The 24,981-nt window shown below is 46.5% G+C and overlaps 2 protein-coding genes and 1 non-coding gene across 11 annotated transcripts in view, besides 7 other annotated features; all 3 read left to right on the forward strand.

Annotated features, from left to right (window-relative positions):
* The window catches only part of EEF2K (eukaryotic elongation factor 2 kinase), an 82,461-nt gene extending 71,649 nt beyond the window's left edge, over positions 1–10,812 (forward strand). The window contains exons 17-18 of the mRNA NM_013302.5: positions 2,272–2,450; positions 5,961–10,812. Of these exons, the coding sequence (NP_037434.2) occupies positions 2,272–2,450; positions 5,961–6,070 (289 nt within the window). The 3' untranslated portion in view covers positions 6,071–10,812. The remainder of the gene's footprint in view (positions 1–2,271; positions 2,451–5,960) is intronic.
* Positions 4,362–4,656: an enhancer, noted in NCBI's record as "tiled region #4253; K562 Activating DNase matched - State 5:Enh". NCBI's record gives its function as "activates a minimal TATA promoter and a strong SV40 promoter by Sharpr-MPRA in K562 cells {active_cell/tissue: K562}" and the evidence as "EXISTENCE:reporter gene assay evidence [ECO:0000049][PMID:27701403]".
* Positions 19,104–19,553: a silencer, noted in NCBI's record as "silent region_7266". NCBI's record gives its function as "represses an Ori minimal core promoter by ATAC-STARR-seq in GM12878 lymphoblastoid cells {active_cell/tissue: GM12878}" and the evidence as "EXISTENCE:reporter gene assay evidence [ECO:0000049][PMID:35858748]".
* Positions 19,104–19,771: a biological region, named in NCBI's record as "H3K27ac hESC enhancer GRCh37_chr16:22308474-22309018".
* On the forward strand, positions 19,214–19,295 carry TRL-AAG2-4 (tRNA-Leu (anticodon AAG) 2-4). Its single transcript has one exon. It is a non-coding gene; the product is annotated as a tRNA-Leu (tRNA).
* Positions 19,227–19,771: an enhancer, noted in NCBI's record as "H3K27ac hESC enhancer chr16:22308474-22309018 (GRCh37/hg19 assembly coordinates)". NCBI's record gives its function as "activates a minimal SCP1, AML or CMV promoter by ChIP-STARR-seq in naive H9 embryonic stem cells {active_cell/tissue: H9 hESC(naive)}" and the evidence as "EXISTENCE:reporter gene assay evidence [ECO:0000049][PMID:30033119]".
* Positions 19,483–24,981, forward strand: part of POLR3E (RNA polymerase III subunit E) — a 37,688-nt gene continuing 32,189 nt past the window's right edge. For 8 of the 9 annotated variants that reach the window (NR_047581.2, NM_018119.4, NM_001258033.2 and 5 more), the window contains exon 1: positions 19,483–19,611. The gene's annotated coding sequence lies outside the window, so the exon portion shown is untranslated. Of the gene's footprint in view, positions 19,612–20,494; positions 21,111–24,981 lie in introns of those variants that run through there. The other variant, XM_047434362.1, reaches the window with a different exon arrangement.
* Positions 20,214–20,353: an enhancer, noted in NCBI's record as "active region_10570". NCBI's record gives its function as "activates an Ori minimal core promoter by ATAC-STARR-seq in GM12878 lymphoblastoid cells {active_cell/tissue: GM12878}" and the evidence as "EXISTENCE:reporter gene assay evidence [ECO:0000049][PMID:35858748]".
* Positions 20,564–20,703: a silencer, noted in NCBI's record as "silent region_7267". NCBI's record gives its function as "represses an Ori minimal core promoter by ATAC-STARR-seq in GM12878 lymphoblastoid cells {active_cell/tissue: GM12878}" and the evidence as "EXISTENCE:reporter gene assay evidence [ECO:0000049][PMID:35858748]".
* Positions 22,562–22,856: a silencer, noted in NCBI's record as "tiled region #3906; HepG2 Repressive DNase matched - State 25:Art, and K562 Repressive DNase unmatched - State 25:Art". NCBI's record gives its function as "represses a minimal TATA promoter and a strong SV40 promoter by Sharpr-MPRA in HepG2 and K562 cells {active_cell/tissue: HepG2 | K562}" and the evidence as "EXISTENCE:reporter gene assay evidence [ECO:0000049][PMID:27701403]".

Below are 24,981 nucleotides of genomic sequence, written 5' to 3' on the forward strand. Positions count from 1 at the left end.
AAGCACGGTGGCTTATGCCTGTAATCCCAGCACTTTGGGAGGCTGAGGCAGGAAAATCACTTGAGTCCAGGAGTTCAAGACCAGCTTGGGCAACCTGGTAAGAGTGTGTCTCTATAAAAAAATTTTAAAAATTAGCCAGGCGTGGTGACATGCCCCTGTCATCCCAGCTACTCAGGAGGTTAAAATGGGAGGATTGCTGGATCCCAGGACTTTGAGGCTGCAGTGAGCTATGATTGTGCCACTGCACTCCTGCCTGGGCAACAGAGTGAAACGCTATCTCAAGAAAAGAAAAAAGAGAGAGCAAAAGGGGGCTGAACTCGCCCTTTTATAACAAATCCACTTTCCTCATACTGGCAGAAATCCATTCATGAGGGCAGAACCATCAAAGCCCAATCACCTCTCAAAGATCCCAACTCCTAATACCTCACAATGGCAAGCAAATCTCAACATGGGTTTTGGAGGGGACACACGTTCCAACCAGAGCAAGGAGCCAGGTGCAGAAAGAGTTGGAGGAAGAATCTTCCAAGGTGAGGGAACAGCGGGTGCAAGGGCCACAGAGCAGGCAGGAGCAGGCATCGTTGGGGAATGGATGGCAGCCGGTGAGCCTGGTGCAAAGGTAGACAAACAGGAGACCGTCCTGGAGGGCAGCGCCTGTCAGACAGGGCCGCAGAGGGCACTGTGGCAGCAAGGCAGGGACAGCAAGTCATCAGACCTATTGCTTCTGGAATGTTTCACGAGACCCACAGGCCTTCTTACCTGTGTCGCTGTATTTGCTCTTTCCTGATATACTATAAATAGTTACTCACACGGATTACACCCAAAGAAAAAGAGCCCTCCGCCCTGTTTGCTGTGTATTCTGTGGTGCGTGGGTTTGGCTGGAAACTTTGTGTGCCCTGGCTGGTTTGGCCATACATGGGCTGCAGTAGGAGGAGTTGAGGGTCGACGGGCAGAGCTGGAAGTGGAGACTCAACTATTCTGGGGTGAGTTCTGCATTGTGCTGGAGGCAATTTTACATAACAAAATTCACAGCTGTCCCGCACAGCAGAGCATACGGTGATTGCCATTAGTGCAGATGGCTCTAGAGGCCTCTGCAGAGGACCCCGCCCCCAATCCACTTCTCTACAAGTCAGAGGGCAGCTTAGCTAGGACACTCAGGCATTGCTAATGCTAGCTCATGGCTGCCTCTGTGTAGACTGTAAAAATGGGCCCCTTCCTCAAGGGGGTGTCCTAGCTAAGCTGCCCTTTACTTTCATCTATGGGAAAATTGTTGTAATATACTGATTTTATTAAGGAAAGCAACTTGACTCCTCTTTTTTTTTTTTTTTTTTTAACACAGGGTTATACTCTATTGCCCAGGCTGGAGTGCAGTGGCATGATCATAGCTCACTGCAGCCTCTAACTCCTGGGCTCAAGCTATCCTCCCACCTCAGCCTCCGGAGTAGCTGGGACTACAGGTGTCCATCACCACACCCAGCTTTTTGTGTGTTTATTGTATTTTTTAATTTTTGTGGGTACATAGTAAGTGTGTATATGGGTTACATGAGCTATTTTGATATGGGCATGGAATGTGTAATAATCACATCAGGATAAATGGGATATCCATCATCTCAAGCATTTATTCATTGTGGTATAAACAATTTCTTTATACTCTTTTAGTTATTTTAAAATATACAATTACATTATTTTTGACTATAGTCACTGTTTTTTTGTTGTGTTTTTGTTTTTTTGTAGAGACACGGTCTCTCTACGTTGCCTGGGCTGGTCAACTGCTCTCTTAATAAATATTGGCCGAGCACAGTGGCTCATGCCTGTAATCTCAGCACTTTGGGAGGCCTAGGCATGTGGATCACTCGAGGTTAGGGGTTCGAGACCAGCCTGGCCAACGTGGTGAAATGCCGTCTTTACTAAAAATACAAAAAATTAGCTGGGTGTGGTGGCGTGCACCTGTAATCCTAGCTACTCAGGAGGCTGAGACAGGAGAATTGCTTGAACTTGAGAGGCGGAGGCTGCAGTGGGCCGAGATTGCACCACTGCACTCCAGCCTGGGCAACAGAGCAAGACTCTGTCTCAAAAATGAATGAATGAATGAGTGAATGAATATCACAGTATGAAGGTGCCTCATAGATGTATTGGCCTTGGACAAGATAGGTCGTGAACCATAGGTGGTGGCCCTGCTGGGATCCCTGACTTGCCCCTCCTGCTGGAAGGCCCTCCTCCTGCCACCCTGTTGCCATGGTAACCTCCACCTTTCCCTCTGTATCTCCTGGCAAGGTGCCAAGACTGGCTAGAGGCCCTGCACTGGTACAACACTGCCCTGGAGATGACGGACTGTGATGAGGGCGGTGAGTACGACGGAATGCAGGACGAGCCCCGGTACATGATGCTGGCCAGGGAGGCCGAGATGCTGTTCACAGGAGGCTACGGGCTGGAGAAGGACCCGCAGAGATCAGGTAGGGCCTGGCAGACCTGCCCCTGGGCTGCAACAGGGCTGGGCAGGGAGGAACCTAATTTCCATTCCACTGGGAGTTATTTATGACAAGATGACAGGCTGAATCTTCTTCCAGGGAGGGGAATTTATGGAGCTAGTATGAAGATGAACATTGTTATTTTAATGGTTATATATTACGGCTTTGTAGGGGGTTTTTGCAATTTTAAAAACTGAATTGAGATTTTCATAACAAAATTCACCATCTTAAAGTATATAGTTTAGTAGGGGGGTTTTCCTTTCCTTTCTTTCTTTTTTTTTTTTTTTTTTTGAGACGGAGTCTCGCTCTATAGCCCAGACTGGAGTGCAACGGCATAATCTTGGCTCACTGCAGCCTCCACCTCCCGAGTTCCAGCGATTCTCCTGCCTCAGCCTCCTGAGTAGCTGGGATTACAGGTGTGCCACCATGCACAGCTGATTTTTGTATTTTTAGTAGAGACAGGGTTTTGCCATGTTGGCCAGGCTGGTCTCGAACTCCTGACCTCAAGTGATCGGCCCACCTCGGCCTCCCAAAGTGCTGGATTACAGGCGTGAGCCACCACACCTGGCCCAGAGTTTCACTCTTGTAGCCCAGGCTGGAGTGGGCCATCTCTGCTCCCTGCAACCTTCACCTCCCAGGTTCAGGTGATTCTTGTGCCTCAGCCTCCTGCATAGCTGGGACTACAGGCACACACCCAGCTAATTTTTCTGTTTTTAGTAGAGATGGGGTTTCACCATGTTGGCCAGACTGGTCTTGAACTCCTGACCTCAGGTGATCTGCCCGCCTCAGCCTCCCAAAGTGCTGGGATTATACGTGTGAGCCACCATGCCTGGCCTCCTTTCCTTTTCTTTCTTTCTTTTTTCTTTGAAATAGAATCTCACTGTGTCACTCAGGCTGGAGTGCAGTGGCACAATCATAGCTCACTCCAGCCTGGAACTCCTATGCTCAAGCAATTCTCCTGCCTCAGCCTCCCAAGCAGCTGGGACTACAGGCACTTGCTTCCACACCCAGCCAATTTTTAAAAGTTCTTTGTAGTGACAGAGTCTTGCTATGTTGCCCAGGCTGGTCTTGAACTCCTAGCCTCAAGCAATCTGCTGCCTTGGCTTCCCAAAGTCTTTGGATTACAGATGTGAGCCACTGCACCTGGTCCTAGTGGGTTTTAGTATAGTCATAATGTTGTACAATCATCACTGCTATGTAATTCCAGAACATTTCCATCACCCCAAAAAGAAATCCCGTACCAGTTAGCAGTCCTCCCCGAACCTAGCAGCCACTATACTTTTTGTCCCTATAGATTTGCCTATTCTGGAGATTTTATATAACTGGGAGTATACAATTTGTGGCTTTTTGTATCTGCTTCTTTCATTTAGCATAACTTTTTCAAGATTCATCTGTGTTGAAGTGTGTTATCAGTACTTCATTCCTTCTTATTACTACATAATATTCCATTGTGTGGATATACAGCCTTTATCCATTCATCAGTTGATAGACAAGTTATATATATATTTTTTCTGTTACATAATGTATTAGTCTTCTTGGGCTGCCAAAACAAAATACTATAGAGTGGGTGGTTTAAACTAAAAAAATTGCTGGGCACAGTGGCTCATGCCTGTAATCCCAGCACTTTGGGAGGCCAAGATGGGAGGATCACTTGAGTCTAGGAGTTCAAGACCAGCCTGGGCAACATAGGTAAACCTCACCTCTACAAAAGAAATTGTTTTAATTAACTGAGTGTGGTGGCACACTCAGTGAGCTATGATCATACCACCGCACTTCAGCCTGGGCAACAGAGTGAGACCCTGTCTCAAAAAACAACAAAAAAAATTATTTCTCCCAGTTCTGGAGGCTGGGAATTCCAAGATCAAGGTGCTGGCCAGTTTGGTTTCTGGCTTGTAGAAAACAGCTTTCTCACTGTGTCCTCACATGACCTTTCTCCTGGATGCAAGTGGGGAGACAGCAAGAGAGCTCTGCTGTCTCTTTTGCTTCCTAAACGGGAATGAGCTCTGTGTGATTAGGGCCCTACCCTTATGACCTCATTTAAGCTTTATCACCTCCTCACAGGCTGCTAGAATATGAACGTCCCCTCCAAGTCTCATGTTGAACTGTAATCACCACTGTGAAGGTGTCAAGAGGTGGGACTGTTAAGAGGTGATTAATGTTGTTATCATGCAGATTGGTCAGTCATCACAAAAGTAGCTTTGTTATAAAAGCAAATTTGGCCCCCTCTTGCTCGCTTGCTTTCTACGTCTCTTGCTCTTTGCCTTCTGGCATGGGATGATACAGCACCAAGGCCTGTGCCAGATGCTGGTGCTATGCTCTTGGACTTGCCGGGCTCTAGAACTGTGAGCCAAATAAATTTCTTTTCATTATAAATTATCTAGTCTGTGGAATTCTGTCATAGCAACATAAAATGGACTAAGACACAGACTGTGTGTCTCCAAATACAGTGCAGTTACATCATGAATGAAGAGTTCAACATATGAATTTGTGGATGGGGAGCCCAGTGGGGACACAGCATTCAGTCCCTAACATATAATAAACATACTAAGTTCCTAATTTCACAGGTATAGGATGAGGCTAAGTTTTAAAAGTTTTTAAGTTATATTTTAAAAATTAACAAAGAATAATGCAAATCTAGGCTGGGCAGTGGCTCGCGCCTGTAATCCCAGCACTTTGGGAGGCCAAGGCAGGCAGATCACCTGCGGTCAGGAGATCGAGACCAGGCTGGGCAACATGATGAAACCCCATCCCTACTAAAAATACAAAAATTAGCTGGGCGTGGTGGCAGGTGCCTGTAATCCCAGCTACTCAGGAGGCTGAGGCAGGAGAATCGCTTGAACCCCAGAGGCAGTGGTGACAGTGAGCTAAGATTCCGCCACTGGACTCCAGCCTGGGTGACAGAGTGAGACTCCATCTCAAAAAAAAAAAAAAAAAAAAAAGAAGAAGAATGATGCAAATCTATAATCTTTTATTTGAAAATTTTAAATCCAAAAAGCTCCAAAAACCTGAAGTATATTTGTATGTTTTACACAAATTCACTTGGTAAAACCTGACCTAGCTGACATGAAGCTGTTTGTAAGTCGTTATTTCTTCCACTTTTGCACATCCCCACTTAGTTCTGCAAAAGTTCTCACCCTGATTCTCATTGGCTCAAATTAGTTCTCAGCCTGATTCTCATTGGCTCAAACTCAATCATCTACATACCCCAAACCAACAGTAGTTGTTTAGATGGCTTACTCTGATTGGCCATGACTAAATCTGGACCAATCGCTGTAGCTTGGTGGGGGATAGGAGGAGTGCTATTATTGGCTAGATTTTATCACAGGCCCACCTTTAGAGCCCCGCCCGGAACACCTGGAGGGAGAGGGCACACGGAGTAGTTTGAGTTCTTAAGGAAACGTCAGGGTGTTCTTCTGGGAGGGGTGATGGGGGACACTGGGCTGGCAAAAACAACAGGTGGTTCACCTCTTTTTGCCCCCCTTTGCTGTCTTTCAGGGGACTTGTATACCCAGGCAGCAGAGGCAGCGATGGAAGCCATGAAGGGCCGACTGGCCAACCAGTACTACCAAAAGGCTGAAGAGGCCTGGGCCCAGATGGAGGAGTAACCAGGAAAATCACTGCCGGCTAGTCCCAAGCAAACGGGCTAGGAGGAAAGATTAAAAAAACAACAACAACAACTTATTTAGTTTGGGGAGGGGAAGCATTTTTAAGTGTGTTGTAAAATCAAATTTTATATTTCATTTTTTGACTCTTGAAAAATGTCTTTGCTCCTTGGCAGCTACCAGCAGAGACTCTATAGCTGTCTCTTAGGGCAGTATTTTGGGGAAGTGGGGCTTGAAGAAGCAGCCTAATGAACCAACATACCGTTTTGTGTGTGGTTTTTTTTGTTTGTTTGTTTGTTTGTTTTGAGACAGAGTCTTGCTCTGTCACCCAGGCTGGAGTGCAGTGACATGATCTTAGCTCACTGCAACCTCCGCCTCCTGGGTTCAAGTGATTCTCCTGCCTCAGCCTCCCAAGTAGCTGGGATTACTGGTGCACACCACCACACTCAGCTAATTTTTGCATTTTTAGTAGAGATGGGGTTTCACCATGTTGGCCAGGCTGGTCTCGAACTCCTAACCTCAGGTGATCCACCTGCCTCAGCCTCCCAAAGTGCTGGGATTACAGGTGTGAGCCACCATGCCTGCCCATTTTGTGGTTCTATTTTCATTTTTATTTCTTTTTTTTTTTTTGTCACGAGATATAAGAAAGTGCTTTTTGCCTTGAATGGACAATTTTAGGGCTGTGCTCACTAGTCTTTTCAGGCTGGACTGAAATGTCGGGCCCATGGAGCCCTGTGTTTTGTGCATCGGGATGAGAAATGAAGCACTTCACGCTGGCTTTCCTAAGTCACGGGGCGTGTATTGCCGTGGCTTAGTGCAAAGCATTCTTTCTCAGAGCATTTAGAGGCATGCGTGGCATTTTTTCAGTGGGTGTGAGATTGCACAATACCCAGGCTCCCTTCTACTGTGGGGAAGGGCCTGCATGTTGGCTGTTTTTTAAACTTCTAGTTCAATTTCCTTCCATAATGCTACTGATTTTCTGGCATACAGCCGAATTCCATCTTTTAAGCATGCTTTCTACGGTGGGCTTTTCAAAACAGGTTTGAGTTTTGTATGCACACGTTTACTACCTCTAACTCCTACATCAGCTAGTGTGGAAGAGGGTGCACCTCAAAGCTTTTACACGTAAGGACAGCGGCTTGGAATGTGAGAGCCTTTTCTCCAAGCAGACCCACACTCTGCATCTCAGTGGCAGCTCCCACAACGTGACTGCAATGTCTCTTATACAGTATTCCTTGGTGTTTTCTTAGTGTCTGGATGTTCTTACGTGAAATCTGCTCCCCAGCCCTGGTCCTTGGCATTTTCTGCTTGAAGCTGGGCTGATTTTCTTGTAATTTACAGCAGGACGCTTTCAGCAGCAGTCTCTTGGGATTTTATCTAAGATGTTTGAGGATGAGAGGGCAAGAACTATAAACACTCATTAATTCTAGTAGTCTCCCCATGGCCAGACAATGGCGATTGTTATTTAATGAGCTTTTCCTTTCAATGGAATTCAGCTCTCACATTAGTATGATTTCATTTGATGTTTCAAATAGCAAAGATGCTAGGTGCGGTGGCTCCCGCCTGTAATCTCAGCACTTTGAGGAGGGCCAAGGTGGGAGGATTGCTTGAGCTCAGGACTTCAAGACCAGCCTGGGTAAACATGGCGAGACCCTGTCTCTACCAAAACAACAAAAAAAAGACAGACTGCTTTGATCAACCCTAAATGCAAAAGCAGCCTATTTTTCTTTGTTTAAAAGTCAAAACATAAAAAAGCAGAGTATAACATACAAACCATTCTTAACTATTCATTAAAATGGGTCCTTCAACACCTTAGTGGGGTTTGTTGTTGTTGCTTATGCAGAGAGATTATTTTCTTTTTATTATTTTATAATTTTTGAAATAGAGATGGGGTCTCACTGTGTTGCCCAGGCTGGTCTCGAACTCCTGGACTTAAGTGAGCCTCCCGCCTCAGTCTCCCAAAGCGCTGGGATTACAGGCAGGAGCCACTGAGCCCAGCCAAGACTTCAGTGTTGACTGCTTTGGAGGCACAAACCCATGCAAGCGTTAGTTCCAAAGTTCAGTGTGTACCCTTAAATGAACAATGAAGCAGGTAAAATTACCCTTGAAAAAAATCCCTTGGACCACCCATAAATGACAGTGACTTTTTCAATATGGACTCATCATAGCCAGTTTTCCTTTTGAAGTTGGAACTGATCACCCTTTTGTCATCTGTACCAGATCAGTAGTTGGCTTGTGTTACATTTTGTGTGTGTGTGTGCGTGTTTTAAACCAGTGCATATAAATTGTATGTTAAATGTAAGTAACTTTAAGTTGACTTATCTCTTCACAGTAATCAAGCCTCACGTAATTCATGCTTTTTAAATTCAGCCAGCCCCCCCTCTCTGAAATTTTATTATGTAAATAATTTGTGTTCCCTGATCACTCGTTTAAGTTCTTAGTTGTATGTCATCTCTTCTCTAGCAGGAATTGGCAAACTTTTTTGTAAAGGGGTAGAAAGTGAAGATTTTAGGCTTTGCAGGCCATATAGCCTCTGCTGCAAATGCTCAGCCCTGCTGTTGTAATGTAAAAGCTGCCACAGACACTACATGAACACGAATGAGTGTGGCTGGTGTTCCAATAAAACTTTATTTACACAAACGGGTGGCCCTTTTGGGCTGTAGTTTGTCAACCCTTGCTCTAACCCTTGACTGAGAGCTACTTTATTAAGCCCTGAGGGCAGGAGCTATCCCAATTTTGTGTTCCCCAGGGCACCAAAACACAGTGCTTTGGCATAGAGTAGGCACTCAACAAGTGTGTGAACAGATGGAGAGCCAGCCCTAGTCAGTGCACTCACCCTTTGAGGCTCTGGTTCCTCCAAACAATGATTCGTTGTCTGGATTGGCTGGAACTGTCACCCCCGCAATTCTACTCCCCACCCACCCATGTGACCTTAATGTCAGTTGCTGGTCTGTTGCTCTTCGGGGAGGGAGAGATGGCCTGGATACAGAGCTAAGCAAATGCTTCTTTAAGGGCCCTTAAAAGTGAAAAGTAACTTGCAAGAGGTTGAGATCCTTCTGAGCTAGGAGAACTTATTCCACCTTCAAAACCTAGTTTGGGCTGGGTGCAGTGGCTCACGCCACTTTGGGAGGCTGAGGTGGGCGGATCACCTGAAGTCAGCTACTCGGGAGGCTGAGGCAGGAGAATCGCTTGAACCCAGGAGGCAGAGGTTGCAGTGAGCCGAGATTGCGTCACTGCACTCCAGCCTGGGCGACAGAGTGAGACTCCGTCTCGAAACCAAAAACAAGAAAAACCCCTAGTTTTGTGCCTTCTGAAGATAGTTAGGACATCTTCTTTTTCCGCAAATGCTGGACATGCCAAAAACCTAACGCAAAACCCAGGACATTCCAGCCCAACTGGGACGATATCAGAGACCATCTTCAAGTGCAAGAAGCAGGTGAAAGCCCAGGAAATTGGCAGAGCCAGGATTATCATCCAGTACTTTCATTTCACAAATGGAGAAACCGAGGTTCTGCCAGCTAGATTTTTTTTCACAGTGTCACTGCTAGCAAGCCACTAAGCTGGAGCTGGGATTTGAGAGCTGCTGCTATTTAGAGGATCTTGGGAATAAAATTTAAACTGGAGTTTAATGGCCCTTTCAGTTTTGCTATAGGCAAGAGAATAAAATGAATGAATGGATAGGTGGCTTTATGGGTGTAAGAAAGAAGCGAAAAAAACTCCCAAACCCCAGTGTTCCTGAATATCTGTTCTCCCCCTGACCACTCTGGGAATTTATCAAATGCAGCTTTGACCTCCAAGCCAAGTAAACTGCTCTTGTTGCTATTTTAGTGGTTTTTGTTTTTTTAAGACACAAGGTCTCACTTTGTTACTCAGGCTGGAGTGCAGTGGCATGATCATAACTCATTGTAGGCTCAACCTCCTGGGCCCCAGTGATCCTCCTGCCTCAGCCTCTCAAGTAGCTAAAACTACAGATGTGCACCATCACATCTGGCTAATTTTTTTTTTTTTTTTTTTGAGGTGGAGTCTCGCTCTGTTGCCCAGATTCAAGTGCAATGGCACGTTTTGGCTCACTGCAACCTCTGCCTCCCAGGTTCAAGCGATTCTCCCTGTCTCGGCCTCCCGAGTAGCTGGGACTACAGGCACCTGCCACCACGCGCAGCTAATGTTTGTATTTTTAGTAGAGACGGGGGTTTCACCATGTTGGCCAGGCTGGTTTCAAACTCCTGACATTAGGTGATCCACCTGCCTCGGCCTCCCAAAGTGCTGGGATTACAGGCATGAGCCACCGTGCCAAGCCACGCCTGGCTAATTTTTTAAAATTATTTTTTGCAGAGACAGAGTTTCACTATGTTGCCCAGGCTGGTCTTGAACTCCTTGGCCTCAAGTGATCCTCCCACCTCAGCCTCCCAAAGCATTGGGGTTACAGGCGTGAGCCACTGCACCTGGCCCTGTTTTCATGGCTTTTATTTCCTTTCATCCCACACATTTGTCTGCAGTACTAGACATGTTTTACAAATCAACAAGTTTACACAAGTATATGCAGCTTGTTTTGGGGGGAAAGGAGACAAAATATGCATATTTTCTGTGTGGATTTGTGCCTCTTAATTGTGTTTCTAGTCTCTAAGGTGACCCTTTAACCTACTCAAGATGGGGCCCAGAGAAGTGGCCTGCGTTACAGATTTATTTTGGCATATGTACTAAGTTCCATTTTCTCTTTACAAATAAAGTGTTTTCTTTCTTTTCTGTCTCAGACTCAAATGTCTCCTGGTTTGGAAAAAAAAAAAAAATGGCCAGGCGTGGTGCCTCACGCCTGTAATCCCAGCACTTTGGGAGGCCGAGGCGGGCGGGATCACCTGAGGTCAAGAGTTCCAGACCAGCCTGGCCAACATGATGAAACCCTGTCTGTACTAAAAATACAAAAATTGGCCGGGCATGGTGGCGCACACCTGTAGTCCCATCTGCTCAGGAGGCTGAGACAGGAGAATTGCTTAAAGCCGGAAGATGGAGGTTGCAGTGAGCCCAGATCCTGTCATTGCACCCCAGCCTGGGCAACAAGAGCGAAACTCCATCTCAAAAAAAAAAGGTGGGGGATCGGGTGCGGTGGCTCACGCCTGTAATCCCAGCACTTTGGGAGGCTGAGGCAGGCGGATCACAAGGTCAGTAGATCGAGACCATCCTGACTGACATGGTGAAACCCCGTCTCTACTAAAAATACATTAAAAAAAAAAAAAAAAAAAAGCTGGGCGTGGTGGCAGGCGCCTGTAGTCCCAGCTACTCGAGAGGCTGAGGCAGGAGAAAGGCGTGAACCCGGGAGGTGGAGCTTGCAGTGAGCTGAGATCACGCCGCTGCACTCCAGCCTCGGCGACAGAGCAAGACTGTCTCAAATAAATAAATAAATAAATAAATAAATAAATAAAGCTGCTGCAGGCAGGGGTCAACGAGAAGGCTCATACCCCATCTGAAAGGGGCAGCCATGATTCAACTTCAAATGATTGCCACCATGGGAAGCGCGGGCTCAATGTTACCCTATTTTCCAATTTTTCAAGAGCTGCTGAAAACTTTTTTTTTTTTAATGCAAGGCCTTCTGTTCTTTAACATTTGTAATAAATTCTAATAACTTTTCAAAGCCTTCCAGATTTGGCTCGTCTGCTGTCAGTTTGCTTTAGAGAAAGTATTAGAACCTCTCGTTTCTTCATTTGCTCATCTATAAAACATAGAGTTTTTCTGTTTGTTTTTCAGACAGTCTCACTCTGTTGCCCAGGCTAGAGTGCAGTGGCAAGATCTTGGCTCACTGCAGCCTCTGCCTCCGAGGTTCAAGTTATCCTCCCACCTCAGCCTCCTCACGAGTAGCTGGGACTACAGGTGAGCACCACCGCGCCCGGCTAATTTTGAAGGGGGGCAGGTTGTGTTTCATCTTGTTTTTTCCTTTCTTCCAGTGGAGACAGGGTTTTGCCATCATGCCCAGGCTGGTCTCGAACTCCTGGGCTCAAGCAATGCACCGGCCTTGGCCTCCCAAACTGCTGGAATTGCAGGCGTGAGCCACCGTGCCCGGCCTGAAGAATAATTTTTACCATTACAGAGTTGTAAGCTTCAGAGAAGATAATACATGGTAAAGTGTTTTTTTTTATTTTTATTTATTTATTTTAAGATGGGGTCTCATTCTGTCACCCGGGCTGGAGTGCAGTGGTGCGATCTCAACTCACTGCAACCTCCGCCTCCCGGGTTCAAGCGATTCTCCCGCCTCGACCTCCCTAGTAGCTGGCATGGCAGTACAGGCGCACACCACCATGCCTGGCTAATTTCTGTATTTTTAGTAGAGGCAGGGTTTCACCATGTTGGCCAGGCTGGTATCAAACTCCTGGCTTCAGGTGATCTACTCACCTTGGCCTCCCAAAGTGCTGGGATTACAGGTGTGAGCCACCACGCCCAGCCTAAAGTGCTTTTTTAATTCCAAGCTTAAGAAAATCTTGGTTACCAGTTGATCTTTTGGTTTTAAGCTAATTTTTTTTAATTTTAAGAAATTTGAACATTAGTATAACTATGCATGGTAGGTTGAACATACATATTTAGGTCCACTTGTTCCTAAATCCCCACTGCAATGACAGGAAGTGGATTCTTTTGTTTGTTTTTTTGTTTGTTTGTTTGTTTTTAAATAGCATAAGCCGGTGAGGATGAAGAGAAAGAGGATTGAACAGCAAGTTTTGGGTGCTGGAAAGTAGGTAGACTGTAATTGAATTAACAGACCCAAGAAGTCTGGATCCTAGATCAGCAGTAGAGAAATCTGAGAAAAACCCAATTTTCATTGCTGAACAAGTCCTGCAAGGCTGAGAAATTGGCACGAGGAGGCCTGGCACCGTGGCTCACACCTGTAATCCCAGCACTTTGGGAGGCTGTGGTGGGCAGATCACTTGAGGTCAGGAGTTAGAGCCCAGCCTGGCCAACATGGTGAAACACCATCTCTACTAAAAATATAAAAATTAGCCAGGCTGAGGCGGGAGAATCACTTGAGCCCAGGAGGCAGAGGTTGCAGTCAGCCGAGATCACACCACTGTACTCCAGCCTGGGTGACAGAATGAGACTCCATTTCAAAAAAAAAAAAAAAGATTAGAGAGAAGTTAATAAAGAAAACTTTTCTGTTGGTTTTGTTACAGCATACGTCAAAATTTTATTACAGTCTTGACCGGGCGTGGTGGCTCACACCTGTAACCCTGGCACTTTGGGAGGCCAAGATGGGAGGATTGCTTGAGGCCAGGAGTTCAAGACCATCCTGGTCAACACAGTGAAAGCCCATATCTTAAAAAAAAAAAATCACAGTCTTGCTGCAAGTGTAAACCCACTGGGAATTCAAAGATTTATACTTGGTAGGGACATTTTCTAAAAATTTATTTTTTATTACAGTCTGCCTATGTAGATTAAACTGCACGCTCTTAAGTATACAGGTTGATGAATTTTTACATTTGTACACATCTGTGTCTTAACAACCCAATTCAAGATATTAGAACATTTGCAGGCCTACAGAAGCCCCCCTGGACCCCTTCCCAGGCAATACACCCTCTCTCCACCCCGAAAAATGTTGGCCACTCTTCTGACCTCTATCTTGATAGAGACATTTTCTAGGAGAAGAAAATGATTAGATAATCACTGTTAGACAAAATAGAAAAGAAAAGAATGTTCCGTTAAAGGTCACTGCACTCTTGACTGACAAATGACCATCAACTGAGTGAGTAGAAAGCTAGTTTCCCAGTGTAAATCTCAATGCTCTTAAATTTCAAAAGAAAAATGCTCAATGCTCGAGCATTTATCAGAAATGCTAGTTTCTTTCCAGAAGGAGGTTCTTACAGAAAGATATGGTCTCAGGCCAGGTTTGAGAGCATTTTCCTTTTATGGGAGCAAGGGAGGAAAGAATGGAGGGGATCCAGGACTGAGACCCCACACCCATTTCCACTATCCACAGCCTAGTGTTTATGATATAGGGACAGGCACACAAAGAATAGTCGGAGTTTCAGCCCATCCCTCCCTTGTCAGGCATCCCGCTGCTGAGACCTTGTAGGTCCAGGGGTTCTGATGCAACATTCTGCATCTCTTGCTCATTGATTTCATGTCTGATTGTCATGAGAAAACTGTGTAAGGGGCTGCTGGACTGTAAGAAACTCTCAAAAGGGTGCTGTGCCTTCCAGGATCAGCTGTTTCCCTGCAGGCTTCCTCTTAATTAAGCATCCTGCTCAGTATGTGTTTGTAGAAAGAGACAAGTTGCTCCAGAATGTTCTAGCAGAAATATCTCAGCCTTAGGAGTTCAAGACCGGTCCTGGCAACATAGCGAGACCCCTGTCTCTGTGAAAAAAAAAAAAATTTTAAGTAGCCAGGCATGGTGTCATGCTCCTGCAGTCCCAGCAACTAAGGAGACTAAGATGGGAGGATCATTTTAGCACAGAAGGTCAAGGCTGCAGTGAGCAATGATTGTGCCACTGCACTCCAGCCTGGGAAACAGAGCAAGAACTTGTCTCAAAAAAAAAAAAAAAAATTCTACACACACACACACACACACACACACACAAAGACACACACACAGCTTCATTTGAGCCTTTGCCTTGCAAGGGGGAGGGGGTTATTGTTTACAGTTGACAACTACCAAGTAGCACTGGGCTTTAGCAGAGAAAGGGAATTTATTACAGTGATAAAGGGATGCCTCCAAGAGTGGACAACCCACTGGGCCTTGGAAAGGGTCTGGAGCTGGAAGCCAGAAAACCATCAGGATTTCCCTGACTCTGCTCTTCTCACTCTCTCATTCCCTCTTTTTCTATACACTGGCTTTTGTCTACCTCTCCAACTCACCTCACAGAATATAGCCATGCGAAATCCCCCTTTCTTCCTAGTTTTAGCCAGCCTCAGAGACTAATTCCAACGCAACACGGTCAAATTAACAAATCGGGCCGGGTGCGGGGGCTCACGCCTGTAATCCTAACACTTTGGGAAGCTGAGGTGGGCAGATCACTTGAGGTCAGGAGTTCGAAACCAGCCTAGCCAACATGGTGAAGCCCCATCTCTAATAAAAACACAAAAAAATTAGCCCGGCATGGTGGCGTGCATCTGTAATCCCAACTACCTGGGAGGCTGAGGCAGGATAATTGTTTGAACTTGGGAGGCAGAGGTTGCAGTGAGCCGAGATCACGCCAGTGCACTCCAGCCTAGGCAATGGATCGAGACTCTGTCTCAAAACAAACAAACAAACAAAAAAAAAACAAAATCAGTAACTCACGGAGTCTCAGTTCACATTCTCAAGAGAGAATTTGATTGGTCCAACCTGAATCCTACGTCCACTGAAGAACGGTAGAACCCACTAGCCATGGCTGTGGGGGTGGGGCGTGCAGCACAAAGGTGGCTGCCAGGGACCCACTCTCTGGCTGGTCAGGCAGTTCCTAGAAAAATCAGACTGGGCAAAGATGCCAGCAATTATCCTTGACTGTGAGGATATTTCCTTTTGGAAAATCCAGTACCCAACTCACAAACAAAGTCCTTCCTGGTACTAAAATACCATGACAAACACTCCTATTGACTTAAAGGGGTTATTCCTCATTCAGCTTTGAACTCCCCACAATGCCTACCCTTTGTCTTCAATCCATGGCTGCTTCTGTATTTTTTTTTAATGTCTTGAAGAGCAACAAACTTTTCTAGCACAAGAAAATCTTTGCATATCATTACATATGTTAAAGGTAGATGGATGGCCAGGTGTGGTGGCTCACTCCTGTAATTCTAGCACTTTGGGAGGCTGAGGTGGGAGGATAGCTTGAGATCAGCCTAAGCAGCAAAGCAAGACCCCGTCTCTACAAAAATACAAAAGTTAGCCCAGTGTGGTGGCGCGTGGCTCTAGTCCCAGCTACTTGGGAGGCTGAGATGGGAGGATCATTTGAGCCCAGGATGTCAAGGCTGCAGTGAGCTGTGATCATACCACTGTACTCCAGCCTGGGCAACAAAGCAAGACCCCGTCTCTCTAAAAAAAAAAAAAAAAAAGGTGGTGGATGGAGGGGGAGAAAAGCCAGGCTAAGGAGGGATTGAAGAGGAAAGACATAAAATGCCCAAATGTTAGGGGTGTGTACCAACTGGATATTAGCCAGAAACTTGAATCATGGCCCTGAAAAGTCTAATACCAGTCAATGCAAAATGAGAATTCTACTTATAAAAGTGTGATTTATATAGTTTTTGATGTGTCTAAAGCATCACCAGCGTTCGTAGAGTTCCTGCCTAATTCCCCCATTCAGTCACCTTAAGCATTGACTCCACTCCCTGTGTTGAACAGAACTAATGGAGAAAGTAATCCACGTAAATGACAGAGGGAAAGAGAAACGATAGAGAATGATAGAGGACAAAACCTTAGATATGAGGGATATTTGAGATTTCTTACGCCAATAAATGTGAAAAATCAAGTAATGGGGCTTTGTTTTCCCAGAAAACGACAACTTGCCAAAGTTGACTCAGGAAGAAATAGAAAAAAAAAAAAAGTCATCAAAAGTCATATAATTTGGCAAAATGGAAAAATATATGCATATCTATATCTATATAGAGAGGGTCTCACTCTCTCACCCAGGCTGGAGTGCAGCACCTGAATCTCGGCTCACTGCAGACTTGACCTCCCTGGCTCAAAGGATCTTCCCACCTCGGCCTCCCAAGTAGCTGAGACTACAGGCACATGCCACCATGCCCGGCTAATTTCTTTTCTTTTGTTTTTTGGTAGAGACAAGGTTTCTCGATGTTGCTTAGGCTGGTCTTGAACTCCTGGCGTCAAGCAATCCTGCCACCTCAGTCTCCCAAAGTGCTAGGATTATAGGAGTGAGCCACTGAGACCAGCCTATTATTAATATTATTATTATATAATACTAGGGAAAGTATAAATATAGACCAGCAATTTCATTTCTAGTGTATACCCTAGAGAAATGTCCATACGTAAGACAAGGAGCCATGTGCAAGGATACTTCCTGCCATATTGTGTGTAATGACAAAAATTTAGTAACAACTTAAAAGTTGTACATGGCATGGAATGAATGAATTAGATCTATAGGCATCATAACAGACCTCAAAAACATAATGTTGGGCCTGGCACAGTCTCTCATGCCTGTAATCTTGGCTACTTGGGAAGCTGAGGTGGGAGGATGGCTTGAGCCCGGGAGGTCTAGGCTACAGTAAGCTATGATTGCACCACTGTACTCTAGCCTGGGTGACAGAGCAACACTCTCTTAAAATAATAATAATAATAATACTGTTGAAATGAGAAAAGCAAGTTTTAGGATATCAGTACAATGTGCTAACATTTATATAAGTGAAAAACATACAGATAACCATTTTAGATATTATTCATAAATTTTATAGTAAAAATGTAAGAAATTATTGGAAAGATACACATCAAATTCATGACAGTTATAGACAGGGGAGAATGGGAGGGGGACTTATTTCTATTTGCAATGGTCTAATAATTTCTATTTGTAATAGTGTGATCTATTTTTTATTTATTTATTTATTTATTTATTTATTTATTTATTTATTTATTTGAGACCGAGTTTCTCACTGTCGCCCAGGCTAGAGTGCAGTGGTGGGATCTCGGCTCGCTGCAACCTCCGCCTCCCGGGTTCAAGCAACTCTCCCGCCTCAGCCTCCCGAGTAGCTGGGATTACAGGCATGTGCCACCACGCCAGGCTAATTTTTGTATTTTTAGTAGAGACGCTTGAACCCAGGAGGCAGAGATTGCAGTGAGCGGAGATCGCACCACTGCACTCCAGCCTAGACAGCAAGAGCGAGACTCCACATCAAAAAAAAAAAAAAAAAAAAAAAAAAAAAAGAAAAGAAAAAAGAAAAGGAAAAAAATGCCACAATACTAAGTCATTAATTTAATGCCAGGTGGTGGCACTATGGATGATAATTTTTTTCTTTGTAATTTTTGTGCATTTTTGTTTTTAATATCTTTGCATATCCACACGGATAGGTATTTTAAAATACAGTCTGGTGAAAAATAACAGCCAATTGCAGATCTATATGAATAATGTGACAATATTTGTGTTCAAATCCATACACAATAAAAACAAAGCTATCTTCTATGGCTATATCTATATATATCCATATAGATATAAACATATAAATTCACAGCAAAAGATCTAGAAAGATATATAGTGTTTTAGTCCATTTTCTGTTGCTTATAACAGAATACCTGAAACTGGGTAATTTGTAAAGAAAAGGAAGTTATTTCTTACAGTTATGGAGTCTGAGAAGTCCAAGGTCAAGAGTGTGCATCTGGTGAGGGCCTTCTTGCTGGTGGGGGACACCTGCAGAGTTCCCAGGCAGTACAAGCCATCATATGGAGGGGGTGCTGAGCTGCTCCCTTGCTAGCTAAGGTCTCTCTCCCTCTTCTTATAAAGCCATCAGTCCCCCTCCCAAGATAACCCATTAATCCATTAACCCATTAATCCATGAATCCATGAAGAGATTAATCCATTCATAAGGGCTCCACCCTCATGATCTAATCACCTCTTAAAGGGCCCACCACACAATACTGCCACATTGGGGATTAAATTTCCAACACATGAAATTTGGGGGACACATTCAAACCATAGTTCATATTAAACAGATAATAATGGTTAGTTACCTCGGCGGAGGGGCCTAGGATGCGAGTCAAGGTCAAAGAGCATTTGTACCTTATCTGCAAAGTTTAAATATTTTGCAATAATTCGCGTGTTATTTGTGTAAGTAAAAATTTAAACATAATTTTTCAGAGACAACTGCCCAGACCAGCTCCAGGGTTTGGCCGTCAGATCCCCTGGTGCATGTTTCTGATCAGATCAATTTCTTCTCCCGGAGACACCCAATCCGGGTCGTATGGATTACCTGTGGGTTAACCAGGGGTCTCCGGGTTAACCATCCAACTCAGAGTAAAGTTTCTAAAAATGCGTTTTGCTCTAATACCTATTCGGAACCAACCTGGGTCTAAAGACTGGAGCAAGTGTTTATTTTCCAAAACACGGCTTTTTAAAATAATTCTATAGGGATCACCTTGAACACACGTTAAGCAAAAAAAAAACCTCAGCGAAAACGCCTCGCAATGTCCAGATTAAATGCAAAAGCAAAAGCATTAAGTAGCTTTCTGGCATAAACATATTGCAGCTGGGTAGCGTGGCCGAGCGGTCTAAGGCGCTGGATTAAGGCTCCAGTCTCTTCGGGGGCGTGGGTTCGAATCCCACCGCTGCCAGGGTTGCTGTCTTTTTGTCCCCGCTGCATACACTCCTGGCTCAGTTTTGCGCGTGCCATCAGCGCCCCCTGCTGCAGGGCGGGGCTCACGGCCTGCATGAATGGCGCGGCGGAGGGGGCGGAGCCGCGTGCACCGGGGCGGGGCATTGTGGGTAAGAGGAAACGCTGGGGCCGGCCCGCTCCCCCCCACGTGTCCGCCGGAGTTTCTCCACCAGCAACATGGCCGCCGCCTGAGAGGAGAGCCGGGCCGCCGCCGTCTCTGCAGCCCGCGGGTAACTGGGCCGTTGCCGCCGTCCGCGCTCGGCCCCCGCGGAGAGGTGAGTCCCGTCTTGGCAGTGCCCGAGCTGGGGCTTGAGCCGGACCGCACTCACGACGTGGGCCTGGGCTAGATTCCCGAGTAGGCCAAGGAGGCCCGCGCCGCGCTGTGCCTAGCAGCTGGAGGCCTCTCGGGACTCGGGCGGGGAGGAGGGGCAGCCGGCTCCAGGCCGACCCCGGACTCTGACTTCCTTGACCTGACACCTGGGAGTTGGGGAGGCCGCGGCCGACGCTGGCGGCGGTGACTCAGGGTCCAGCCGACCTGCCCTATCCGGGCCTGGGAGGCCTCCTACGGAAGAAACACCTGTCCGCGCGTCGGGTGTAGTGGCGGCTCGCGGCAGGGACTGCGTGGTGGGCGTGAGAAGGGGGGCCTGACCACCCGCGAGGGAGCAGAAACCCATTGGACAGCGAGGCTCGGGATCGGCGGCCCGCCCCGATGGGCAGGGAGGGCACCTGCGCCTGCCGGAGCCCCCACTTCGCAGCTGAACCGGATTAGCCTCTGCCCGGCGAGGCCAGGGATTCCTCATTCATTTATTCAGGCAACCATTCAGTGTTTACCGAGCCAACTCTGTGTTCCGGATACAGCCCTGACCATTCGGTCCGAGGAGGTGTCAGTAAACAAACAAGGTCGTTCCTTTGGGTTAGCTTTAGAATTCCTTGGGCTTGGAGGCGGAAAGAAGAGATCTTAGCGATCTCCACAGTTTCCTCATCTGTGAAATAGAGATAATAGAAATTCCTACCTCATAGGGTTGTGGTGACGGCTCAGTAGAAACCGGGTGACGCTCCTGCTTGCAGCGTTTGACTTGTGGCTTAGCGTCATTACCCGCTTACGTTGGCAGAAAACATGTTGTCAAGTAATAACAAACCTTCCCAGAGGTTACGTTTATTAGCGTCCTGTCCTTACTCCTTCCCCGCAGGGGTCTGGAGGTCGGTACTTAGTTTCCCTACTTTAGGGATGAAAATAGGGAGGAATACCAAACCCAGACAACTCAGGTGGGTCACAGATGCCAAGCAGCTGTGGTGGGATTTGAACCTGCACAGTTTTGTTCTCGGGTCCAAGCTCTTACCCACTTAACCATACTGCCGTTTATCAGAAAACCGTGCAGTATAGTGGTTAAGAATAAGAATAAGGATCTTTGACATAGCGAGACCCAAGTTTCTGTCCTCATTCCACCTTGGATGAGTTGCTTATATCTGAACCTCAGTCTCGTCATTTCCAAATTGAAGATGATAAATCTCTATTGATAGGGCTAATGAGAAGATTAAATATAAAGTATTCTTTGTACTATATTGAGTGTCAACTTCGTGCCAGGCACTGTTCTAGGTATTGAGAGAACCAGCACTGGATTTTTTTTTTAAAGTAATGCTCCCCATAACAGCTTTGATGAAGTAAAGTATGATTGTCTGCATTTCATAGTTGAGGAAACTGAAGCACTGAGAAGCCTTCATGGAGCTTACGTTCTATTGCAGAAGACAAACAACACCTGAGCAAATAGACCAGGTAGTTCCAGATTAAGATGAGACCCACCAAGGAAAGAAAACAGAGATGTGGTAGGGCCTGGGAGGAGGCTGGGGGAGGCTTTTAAAATAGGGTGGTCAGGGAACCTATCCTCTCCTGCAGGCGGTGATGATATTTAATAAAAAGGAGCAACCTTGGAAATCCCTGTGGGAGAATAGATGATGTGCAAAGGACCTGGGGTGGACTGGGGCTTGCCTTGTTGGAGGCCCAGCAAGTGGCTACCAGCCTGGATGGTGAGGGGAAGACAGAGACAAGATTATGTAGGGCCTTAGGTGGCTCATGGAAAGGAGTTTGGGTTTTATTTTATGTGACAGTGGCAGTTGACAGGTCTTAGGCAGGGAAATAATATGATTTACTTTTTTTTTTTTTTTTTTTTTGAGATGGAGTCTTGTTCCGTTGCCCAGACTAGAGTGCAGTGGCAAGATCTCGGCTCACTGCAACCTCTGCCTTCTGGGTTCAAGTGATTCTTCTGCCTCAGCCTCCCGAGTAGCTGGGATTACAGGCGTGCATCACCACGCCTGGCTAATTTTTGTATTTTAAGTAGAGACGGGGTTTCACCTTATTGGCCAGGCTTTTCTGGAACTCCTGACCTCAGGTGATCCGCCTGCCTCGGCCTCCCAAAGTGCTGGGATTACAGGTGTGAGCCACCGTGCCTGGCTTTGTTTTCCCCCCAGTAGAGATCGAGTCTCACACTGTGACCCAGGATGGAGCGCAGTGGTGTGATCATAGCTCACTGCAGCCTCAAACTCCTGGGTTCAACCAATCCTGCTGCCTCAGCTTCCCAAGTAGTTGGGACTGCAGGCCATGCCAGGCTAAAATTTTTTTTTAAAGAGAGACCGGGGGGCGGGGGGCGCCTCACTATGTTGCTCAGGCTGGTCTCGAACTCCTGGTCTCAAGCAGTCCTTCCACCTAAGCCTCCCAAAGTGTTGGGATTACCGGCATGAGCCACCATGCCAGCCTGATTTACTTCTTTCCAAAGACTCACTGTTGCTGGGAGACTTGGAGGTAGGTATAAGGAGCCGTAGGGAGACTTGGATGAGTGCTTTTCACATTGCAGGTTAAAATTTATTAGTGGGAAGTAAAATCAATTTAAGGGAATTGAAGCTAGCATTTTTTGTTTTGAATGAAGTAGAAAACATCACGGCCTGACATATAGTAGGGACAGTTATAGTTACGTGAAACCTTGTTTCAGTTATGCAACTGTATGTATGTTCTGGGTTATTTATATGAGATGGATTTCTTACTGTGGTGGATCTTAGGCTGAAAACTTTGAAAGCCACTGAGTTGGATCACCTCGGCCTGGAGGATGAAGGGAGGTGACACTCTTTGTATCAACCCAGATGTACTATCCAGAGGAAGGAGCTCCAGCTCTCTAGCTGACAGGGCACCTCAGCCTCCCTGATCCCTGGCAGGGCAGAGGCCAACAGGGCATAGCAATAGCCAAGAAAGAACAATTGCGTCTTGGGAACCTCCCAGGCCCCAGCCTCTCAGTTGTCCACTGCCCAGCTGCAGAGAAGGCAGGAGCTTGACATATCTGTGGCACTTGGCAGCCGGTGCAGATGGGGTGAGGCCTTGGGCTCTCCGCTCTACACTGCCCTCTGTCTGCACAGCAGACAGTCGAGATGCACTGAAACTGTCCAGATGCGACTCCTGATTTTCATTCCATCCTCCATCTCTGGGACTGTTACGATAGCTGTTTCCCTGAAGTTTCTCTTTCTACCCGCTCCATGTCTTCCTCTGCCCGAAATCCTTCTGTAGCTTCCTATTAAATAGCATTCCCATGGTTCATTTATTTAGACAACAAACATGTATTGAGTGCCTGCTGTGTACTAGGCACTTGGGGTACCACAAGGGACAAAATAGACCAAAATCTCTGCCTTCACATAGCTTACAGCTTAGTGGCAATAGAGATGGGCACAGATGCAGAGCTGTAAACTGTCACATGGTGATAGACACCTGCTATGGAGAAAACCAGAGCAGAGAAGGGAATTGAGGGGTGGGGGAGGCAGTTTGCAATGTGATTTGGAGAGGGAAGGTCTTAGCCACAAGGTGACATTTGAGCAAAAACCGGAAAGAGGTGAAGGGGGGACCATGAGGTTATCGGGGGGGTAGAGCAGCTACAAAGCCCCAGAAGTGGGTTTGGAGCAGAGAGGAGGGTAGGAGGCTTGTGGGAGATGAGGTCTGGCAGGTCAAGGGGCAGGAGATTGTTTAGGGTTTACATGGGATGATAAAGACTTTGGCTTTTGTCTAGGTGTGGTGGCTCATGCCTGTAATCCCAGCACTTTGGGAGGCCAACACAGGTGAATCACTTGAGGCCAGGAGTTCGAGACCAGCCTGGCCAATATGGCAAAGCCCCGTCTCTACTGAAAATACAAAAATTAGCTGAGCGGATGGTGCATGCCAATTATTGCAGCTACTTGGGAGGCTGAGGCAGGAGAATCACTTGAACCTAAGAAGCAGAGGTTGCAGTGAGTCAAAATCACGGCAGAGCACTTCAACCTGGGTGACAGAGCAAGACATGTCTTAAAAATAAATAAATATTAGATAGTTCAAATGTTAAGTAGATCAGACAAAAATCATGCTGGTCTCAGCCGGGCGCAGTGGCTCACGCCTGTAATCCCAGCACTTTGGGAAACCAAGGCGGGCAGATCACCTGAGGTCAGGAATTCAAGACTAACCTGGCCAACATGGCAAGTCCCTGTCTCTACTAAAAATAGAAAAATTAGCCGGGCCTGGTGGTGCATGCCTGTAATCCCAGCTACTTGGGAGGCTAAGGCAAGAATCGCTTGAACCCGGGAGGCAGAGGTTGCAGTGAGCCGATCGTACCACCGCACTCCAGCCTGGGTGACAGAGCAAGACTCCGTCTCAAGAAAAAAAAAAAAAAAAATTCATGCTAGTCTCACCCAAGAGCAGAGGTTTGGGAACTGCTGAGGCCTGGGGGTGCCTGAGTACCATCCTACCTATGACCACCCCTCTTCTCTTTGGGTATGTGAAGGGGCAGACCAGCTGAAATACTCAACCTGCCCCGTGGAGACCTACAGCCTTCCCTCTTCCTGGAATTTCTCCTCCCCTCTGTTGTCATGACTTGCCCAAAGCTCTCTCTTCTTCCAGGCGCACCTAACGTGCCTCCTCCCCAGCAGAAAGGCCTTTCCCGCCTCTCAACTCCCCTACCTGTACCTGTCACCTGAGGTCAGACAGCCTGGATTTGAAGTCCAGTTCATCATCCTGCTTGCTATGTGACTTTGGGTCAAAATGCACACAGTATCTCTGAGTTCCAGTCTGTTCATTATAAAACAGTGACAATCACCACACCTCATAGGGTCATTGTGTTGAATACAGGACAGAAGAGTGTGTGAAGAGGTCATTTTTAGACCAAAAACACAGAAGAGTCATCTCACTCAGGATTCGAGTTAAAGTCAGCTTGAAAATCAAATATCAGAGAGCTTTGGACTGTCTGTCTTCCTGTTCAACTTCTGGCTCCTCTTTAAAGCGTCCCCAGGGCCCTCAGTTCTCCAGTGTTTTAATCATGGCTGGGACCAGCCAACCTCTATCCTTCTGTCTGGCAGTGAATTCTCTGTGAGCAGAGAAGAAACCATTAAAGCCAGTCATTTGCCTTTCCCCGCAGGTGCAGCCCACACTTGTTGGCTTGGTCTACCCGCTTGCACCCGCTGCTTGAGTGTTTCTTTTTTTCTTTATTTCTTCTGGCTGATGGGGTATAGGGTTGGTCATCCATTGTTGACTTCAATGTAGATGTAGAAAGAAGGTCAGTTGGTTGGTTGTGGGCTCCCCCTCCCAGTGCAGGGCCTGTTGCAGAATAGGCACAAGGAAATGTTGGTTGAACGACTGATGGTCC

The sequence above is a fragment of the Homo sapiens genome, chromosome 16, assembly GCF_000001405.40.
Source record: "Homo sapiens chromosome 16, GRCh38.p14 Primary Assembly".
In the NCBI taxonomy this organism is placed as follows: domain Eukaryota; kingdom Metazoa; phylum Chordata; class Mammalia; order Primates; family Hominidae; genus Homo; species Homo sapiens.